At 43.6% G+C, this 8,956-nt stretch overlaps 1 annotated feature.

Annotated features, from left to right (window-relative positions):
* Positions 6,043 to 6,811: an enhancer, noted in NCBI's record as "OCT4-NANOG-H3K4me1 hESC enhancer chr2:220571945-220572713 (GRCh37/hg19 assembly coordinates)". NCBI's record gives its function as "activates a minimal SCP1, AML or CMV promoter by ChIP-STARR-seq in primed H9 embryonic stem cells {active_cell/tissue: H9 hESC(primed)}" and the evidence as "EXISTENCE:reporter gene assay evidence [ECO:0000049][PMID:30033119]".

Below are 8,956 nucleotides of genomic sequence, written 5' to 3'. Positions count from 1 at the left end.
GCCCTCCTCCTGGCTCACGGATGGCTGTCTTCTCACTGAGACCTCATATGGCAGAAGGGGTAGGGAGCTTTCTGGGGTCTTTTTTATAAGGGCACTAATTTCCTTCATGAGGACTCCACTCTCATGATCTAATCACCTCCCAAGGACCTTCCCACTTCCAAATACCATCACACTGGAGATTAAGTTTCAACATACAAATTTTGAGGGGACAGAAAGATTCAGTTTACAGTAGTGCTTAAGGGTACAGGCTCTGGAACCAGCTGCCCAGGTTCAAATTCTGGTTCTGCTACTAACTGTGACACTTGGGCAAGCAAATTACCTCAATGTCCCATTTCCTTCATCTGCAAAATTGAGATAATAATAGCAGGACCTACCTCATAGTGGTGTCATGAGAAATCAATGTGAAATACGTGCAAAAACATTTAGACCAGTGCCTGGCACACATTAACTATGGTTTCCACCACTTCACTTTACTCAGGCTCCAAACCTCTCTTATTTCCAACCCATTTCTAATCACTTGTCAAGCCCAGTCATTATGTACCTGCATATCTCACATATTCTCCCTCTCCTCTCCATTCTCTTCACCACTAGTTGAATTCAGACTCTGAGGCATAACCTACCATTTGCCTTCCCCAACATCCCTTCTCCCCTTTCTCCTTAATGAATGAACTCTCCATTTTAGCCAGGCACATGGCGACCCAGCTAAAAGACTACATTTCCCAGACTCCCCTCCAGTTAGATGTGGCCATGTGACTAAATTCTAGCCAATGGGAAGTAGGCAAGCATGTTATGTGGGACTTCTGGGAAGTTGTTCTATAAAAACATGCTTTTCTACCCCATTCCTCAACTTTGCTGCTGGAATGACCTTGAGAATGACTGCAGCACCCTAGGGATGGCACAGCAGAGAGCTAGAAAAGGACTAGATCCCTGTTAACTTTGTGGTGCCTACACATCAATTTTGGACTTCTTACCATAACTTCTTTTATATGAGAGAGAAATAAACTTAACTTGTAAACGTTCCTAGTACAGGCAGAGGAAATTAATCTTGACTAATCACCTCTCTGTTTCCCAGATTACAGGAATGGGTTCCTAATTTCTCTCCGTCTGTATCCCCATCTGACCTCTCTGCCTACACTGCTGCCAGACTGATCTCCCTGAAGCACAGCTCAGCACCCTGACAGAGTCTTCAATGACCTCCCCATTGCCCAGTCTTCTCAACTACCATGATTTGTCCCCCACCTTCTTTTCCACTCTTACCCCCACTCCTTCCCTCCTTTCCCAACCAGATCCAATTACGTCTCATTTCACATTCTCATCCCATTCTGTCCTGCCCTCTGTCTTTACCTATACACTCTCCCTTTAGACTTTATGTGTCCAATTCTGGACAGTCTTTCAGTGTTCAGATGCCATTCAGCCTCCTCCATGGAGCCAGTCTACCCCTAAGCCAGGAGTAATTTTCTATCCTCAGAACCTCCCCAGTGCTCACCTCCTGCTTGTGTCAGGGAAGGTAACAAACATGATAAATGTTAGGCAAGTCACAGGCTTAAGGAAGCTCACAAGCCTCTTTTTCTTCTTTTTAAATTAAACTTTTTTATTTGAAATCATTATAGATTCACATGCACTTGTAAGAAATAGTACAAAGACATCTCCTGTACCCTTTACCCAGTTTTGCTAATCACACCATATTTCAAAACCATAGTACACATAGTACAATATCAAAGCCAGAAAAATGACATTGATACAATCCACCAATTGTATTCAAATTTCTTTTTTTTTTTTTTTTTGAGACGGAGTCTTGCTCTGTCACCCAGGCTGGCGCAAGCTCAGCTCACTGCAACCTCCACCTCCCGGGTTCAAGCGATTCTCCTGCCTCAGCCTCCTGAGTACCTGAGATTACATGCACATGCCACCAAGCCTGGCGAATTTTCTTTGTATTTTTAGTAGAGACGGGGTTTCACCATGTTGGTCAGGCTGGTCTGGAAAACCTGACCTCGTGATTCAGCCTCCCAAAGTGCTGGGATTACAGACGTGAGCCACCGTGCCCAGCCTGGATTTCCTCATTTTTATGTGTGCTCATGTGTGTGTACGTCTGGGCTTCTGCAGTTTTATTACATGTGTAGATTAGCATATCCACTACTACAGTGAAGATACAGAACCATTCCAAGGCTTCCTTCTCCTGTTACCCTTTTATAACTACCTACATGCATCCACCTCACTCCCACCCCACACTCCCATTGCTAACCCCATCCATCTCTAATCTGCTCTCCATCTCTACCATGTGTTATTGTTTATATAAATGAAATCATACAATATGTAATCCTTTGGATTGACTTTTTCACTCAGCACATTTCCCTTGAGATTCATCCAAGTTGTCCCATGCACCAGTAACTCATTCCTGTTTATGGCTGAGCAGTATTCAGTGATATAGATGTACCATAGTTTATTTAACCATTCGCCCACTGAGAAACATCTAGCTTATTCCCAGTCTTTGGCTATTACAAATGAAGCTGCTATCAATATTTGTCAACAGGTTTTTGTGTATTCTTCCTCTGTTTTTAGAAATACAAATGCAAATCCTGGTGGACTTTTGCTACAAAGACGTTATTTCCTTTAAAGCTGTAAGTTAAACAAGAGAGTCACAAGCCTCCTTGGACCATGACTCCTGCTCAGAGGCTCTGGCATCTTCTTGAGCAGGAAGCCATACCAGCACTGGGCTTCCTCCTTCTGGCTTCACATCTATGGGTGGGGCTCACCAAACCCCCAAACCATGCCCCCCCATTTTAAACCTGCTGTCAACATCCTCCATGATAGCCCTTTTTCCAGAAGCTAGGAAAGAAATAGAAATAAAAGCCCAAAGCAGATTTATCCTGGCTCAAGAAGACATTACGTATCTCAGAGAACTTTCAAACTAGAAACTGCCTTTTCAGGGGTTCTCTGCCCCTTATGAGAAGGAGTCACTGGGGCCATTTCCTCCTGTCTTCTTTCATTACATTTTGTCTCCTTCTATCTTAACACACCCTATAGTAACGGTGTGTCTATTTGCATCCCTTCCCATCCCCAGCTATACTTGACTTCTCTCCTGGTAGACTGTAAACTTCTTGGGGAAGAATCTAAATTTGGTTCATCTTTGCAGCCCTACCGAGCATACCTAGACCAATACCTCGCATGAGTAGCCACTCATTCAAGCATTAAATTAAAATAGATGAGATTTATTAATTAACTGCATCAGTGAAGACCAGACTTGGCAGAAAGAATCTATGGAAAAGACAGACCCCAAAACCATCATACAAAGAAGGGATCCACTTGGATTTGCTGAGGAAAGGAAGAAACACTGTTGAGCAGGGGTTGCTAGGACCCTAGATTGATATTCTGGAAAACACTCTCCCTCTGCCTCTCTCATGAGCACATACCGGCCCTCCAAGCTTCATGCATGGGAGCCTCCAGCTTTATGCAGGCTTTGGGAACTCAAGAATTTCTGAAGTCAGGTATCTCAGGGCCCTTCGATTCTACTATTAATATATCTGGGATAGCTGGTCTTCTGGAAGACCAATGACAGTTTCAAGGGAAACCTCAGACCCAGGCTCTACAACGTGCACAATTTTTCGATTCCCACATTCTCCATCCAGTTTTGGAATTAAAAATAATAATAATAGGCCGGGCGTGGTGGCTCACGCCTGTAATCCCAGCACTTCGGGAGGCCGAGACAGGTGGATCACGAGGTCAGGAGATCGAGACCATCCTGGCTAACATGGTGAAACCCCGTCTCTACTAAAAATACAAAAAAAAATAAGCCAGGCGTGGTGGCAGGAGCCTGTAGTCCCAGCTACTCGGGAGGCTGAGGCAGGAGAATGACGTGAACCCGGGAGGCGGAGCTTGCAGTGAGCCGAGATCACACCATTGCACTCCAGCCCGGGCGACAGAGCAAGACTCTGTCTCAAGAAAATAATAATAATAGTAATAAAAGGCTATGTGTATGTGTTGAGAATATGGAGGGGAAGGTTGGAAGTAAATTTGTTGAGTAAATATCCTCCAATCTGCGTAATTCATTGTAAGAAAAGTCATTAGACTCATATCAGGCCATCTTTGTGAAAGCCTGTTACATGAAATTGTTTGGACTTGCAACCAAGGCAAGAAATCCTTCTTTGGAAAGGAAACAGTTATTTTATTATAAGATAGGCTATCAATCTCAAAATAATTACTGATGGTCAAGGAAAGATTCAAGCCAATTAGGTTTTTTGCTCAAGTTGATTCCGTCCCCGCTTCCAGTACTCTTGTGAAGCCTTTATATAATCCAGAGCAAGTCCCTCCCGACCACAGGAGGTCACAGATGAGAGGGGCAGCCTGACCCAGGCTTCATGCAGAGCAGATGTCCCCACTTCAAGCCAATTTGGAAGCAGGAACTGTGCTCTCCAACTCTAGCCTCTCATTATCTGTTTATATGAAGTTCTATGTAACTGGAACTGCTTGGAAAACTAAGCCATGTGGAAGCCATTTAAAATCATTTCACTTCTAATTATAAACCAGATAGAGTCATTTTCATGCAAGGGCAGGAACACTTCAGAGACTGTCAGGGTTCAGAACATTCCTTGGGTGACAGGTGGCTGGAATATTTAAAGAACTCTCTGTGCCCAAGATAACCTTGACTAGAGGAGTGAGCAAGGGAATTTTAAAGATACGTGAAGTTTGCATATGAAGTTGGAGCACGTGAAATACTTACTCAGACCTGATTTCAGAAAATGCATTGGACAGGTGGGACCACTGGGTTTCCTTGGGAGGCCACAAAGTGGGAAGGATAGATGGCTTTGGTGCTAGACCGAGCTGGGCTAAGTAAATGAGTGAGTTATAAGTCTCTCAGAGCCTCAGGTTATTTATCTATAAAAGATGGGAAATGCCTATTTGCAGGATTATTGTTCTAAAAACTAAATGAGGCTGGATGCAGTGGATTATGTCTATAATCCCAGCACTTGAGGAAGCTGAGATGGGAGGATTGCTTGAGGCCAGGAGTTCAAGACTAGCCTGTGCAACATAGCAAAACCCCATCTCTAAAAAAATTAAAAAAAAAAAAATTAGGCATGGTGGCACACACTTGTAGTCCTAGCTACACAGGAAGCTAAAGCAGGAAGATCACTTGAGCCCAGGAGTTTGAGGCTGCAGTGAGCTATAACGGTGTCACCACACTGCAGCATGGGCCACAGCGCAAGACCCTGTCTCAAAAATAAATAAATAAAATCTAAATGAGATAATGTATGTGAAACCATCTAGCCCTGTGTTCAGCACATGGCCGCTCCATCACTACATGATAATTATAGTCCTACTTATTATTATTATTATAAGTCATAATTATATGTTTGGAATAGTAGGTCAGGACTGGCCTACCACATATGACTGGCTGTGCTTATGCAAGAAGTATTTACAATGGCCCAGGAAAAATGAACGAGAGAAATACAATCTCCAACTTCAACATTGTTACATAACTCCCAAAGCTTTTTACCTTTTCCCATCTTCCTCCCCATTCTCAGCCCTTCCAGACAGAGTGATGCATCTGAGAAATTCAGTGTAGAATACAACATTCAGGACTAGGGATTCAAGGTGACCAGGGGATCAACTTTCTTGATCTTGCAGGAAAGCATATGTACAACTCCATGAGAGCTGACCTAGTAAGCTGAACCATCAGAGTCATGGAGGCCAGAACATGGTTGGACCAGATGAGCATGTCCACTAGTCTGGACTCTAGGGAGAAATGGTTACAAGTAAGGGATGTTACTGACCTACGGTCCCAGGTATGATCAACCCTGGTTTGGTAGTCTGCCCACTGGAAGTTTAAGGAACTGTAAATAAAACAATTATTTCAACAGCACTCAGTTGCCTCATTTGATGAAGCCTGGGGGGTAGCTCCTTGTAAATCTACTGCATTTCATCAGTTGCCCATAAATTTTAGACATGTCAGTGGTGTTTATTTTCATGGTTGGACAGCTCATCTTGGGTTACAGCTTGGTAATCCAACCTACATGTGAAAAAAGGAGTGCAGATGTAAGTCAGAAGAAATATTCAAAATATTTTGACAGCCAGGATGACACTAATACAGACCAATCAAGCATGAGCTCTGTAGCAGGAAGGACACTGTCCCTTTCCACAAAACGGATCCAACAGCACCAGTGCATGTAGGCCGAGTTCCCTGAATGGAATTAATTTTTCTTCACACTGGTAGTCAGAATGCACATTTACCAGCTACACTAGCTTTATACAAAACTTGAAAGCCAAGTTTAATCCTGTGTGATTAAAAACCCTGAGCGCCACATTCCCTCAAACTGGGCTTAAACACAGAACTCAACAGGTTTGTAATTACATGCAATGCCACTCTCTGGCATGACTATAATACCATTTTACAACACAAAGGAGAACTATTGAGTTCTATTCACAAGAGAAAGTGCTACATTGATTCCTCTCTTGGTGGGATAGAAAGCATATGTCACAGCATATATTTTTTCTGCAATTAATTTTTATGAAACCAAGCATAAAAGATAATGCACCTGATTTCTGTATTTGTTTTAATGTGCCCTGGGGAAGTTCTAACAAACCAGAAGCAGGAACAATGATGGGACCCATCCGGATTTCAGCAACTGAGTAAGCAGATACCCCTAGTGTGAGAAGTAAACTTGTTTTGTTATCCTTGACTGCCTTTCCTTCTCCATCCCCTATCCCCCATTCCCTACTAGGCAAGACCACACGAAATCCAAAATCCACCCCCAAATGGATGAGACTTGCCTATTTCAAAGGTCCCTAAGGAAAGCCCACTTGGTCTTCATCCCAGTGACTAACACACCTCATTATCAGAAAACTCTGCCTCACAACTAAGCCCTATGTAACTGAGATGTCCAGCGCTTCTGACTCATCCACATTTCCCCAGGGGGCACTTGCATGCTTCAGACACCCTTCAAAGTGTGGGCACTGGAGCCCCTCTCCCTGACTGGGTTAGTGGGTGTCACTGCCTGCAGGAGCCCCCAAGAGAACCCTGGAGCAGAGCCTCAGTGGGTAGGACGGACAAGCCAAGAACGAGGGACACGGGCACACACCAGGCCAGGCCAGGTGGGTCCTCTGCCCCACTCTTGCCTCAGGTGCTGGCAGGATGCCAGTCTTCACAGCTATTTCTCTGTGCTCCCTTCCTCCCCCACTTTGTGGACTGCAAGCCAACCCTAGAATGCAGGATCCAGGTGGGCTCAGCTTTCACTGCCTCATGGCCCCAGGGCCCCAGGCACCATCTCTGCTCCAAGCATCCTCTGGAGAATTATTAGTCTCTCCACCCAGACCCTGGTCCCAAAATGTCTGCTCACACCTCTTTTTCTAAAAAATAAAACTACCTGTAATCTTTCTCCATGTCTCCAGGAGTCTCAGACCTCTACATAGGAGCAGGAGACAGTGTACTTTCAGTCATTCAAAGATTTATTCTCCCTAAGAAATAAGATATCGTCGGGCATGGTGACTCATGCCTGTAATCTCAGCACGTTGGGAGGCTGAGGCAGGAGGATCACTTGAACCCAGAAGTTCAAGACCAGCCTGGGAAACAGAGTGAGACCCCATCTCTACAAAAAATTTAAAAATTAGCCAGGCTGGCAGCATGTGCCTGTAGGAGGCAGAGGTGGGAGGGTCACTTGAGCCTGGGAGGCCAAAGCTGCAGTGAGCTTAGATTGCCACTGCCCTCCAGCCTGGGTGACAGGAGTGAGACCCTGTCTCAAAAAAAAAAAAAAAAAAAAAAAAAAAAGCAGGGGGAAACAAGATATCTTTCCAAACCTTTCTTGCTAGAACAGAGGGAAGATACAGATTTAATCTCCAGTAGAGCACACTGCTACATTTACAGGGTACATTTATTTTCTGTTTTTTAGTTCCCTCTATAGTGGATACAGAATAAAATTGATGAGTCCTCTCGATGCAGTCCTTGAAAATTATTGTAGTAAATCTCCCTATGATTCGTTTTTCTTCAGTTAGAACTAAGTTCATTTCCTTCACATGCCAGATAATTCAGATAAAATCCCACTAGAGCAAATACAATTAAGTAAATGTTCTACATAAAGCAATTTGCCTTTTATTAAAAACTTCATTGTTAAATGCCAATGTGAAAACAGTAAATTTTTTATTTCATCAGCTTTATATTTACACTGACTATGGATGCATGTCTCAGTTCAAATTGGTAGCAATTTACTAATTAATTAATTGCATTAAGGAGATTACAAGGTTAATAGCTGCCGTTTCTGATCATCGTTGGACTTTCATGCAGGGTATTAAAAAGTAAAAATATACTAGTATTTATAGAGCGTGGGTTTGCACCAAATAAATTCAATCTAATCCAAGAAGAGGGGTTCTTTTCAATGCAGGCAATATCAAATTTGGTGCAAAACCCAAAAACCTAGATTTGACTTTTGATTCCCCAAATCACTCCATCTCCTTCTTCTCTCCACTAAAAATGTATTTGACAGACTTAGATTTCAAATGGGAAAAATGATACCCAAGTGGTAGCTATAAGTGGGTAACAAGATCTGCCCAAGTTCCCTGAACTTGGATGTCACTCCGCAGTCTCACTTTCCTATCTGCAATTGTCCTTTGCACCTGACCTTGGCATCTACATTTCTCTTTGGAAGCTGAGCTCTGTGCACTGTTGAGCCCATTCCATTCTTCTAAATATTAATACAAGCACAGAGTTGGACACACAAGCTTAGAGAAGCTGCATTGGAGGTGGAAGCTGCATTAGAATCAGCCATAGCGCCCCTCAGACCCACCAAATCAGGATTGCTAGGAGCAAAACCCAGCAATGAGCATTTAAACAGGCTCAGGCTGAAGCGTAAGCACACAAGGGACACAAAAGGAGATGATGATGCTGTAGACAAAAGATCTCCTGCAGATGTCCATGCCGGAGGTCATTGGATCATTGGCCACAGTGGGAGGCCACAATACTGTGAGTGAC

Source organism: Homo sapiens, chromosome 2, assembly GCF_000001405.40.
Source record: "Homo sapiens chromosome 2, GRCh38.p14 Primary Assembly".
Classification (NCBI taxonomy): domain Eukaryota; kingdom Metazoa; phylum Chordata; class Mammalia; order Primates; family Hominidae; genus Homo; species Homo sapiens.
The sequence above is the reverse complement of the archived record's forward strand: the minus strand, read 5'-3'. Positions and strand labels throughout refer to the sequence as shown.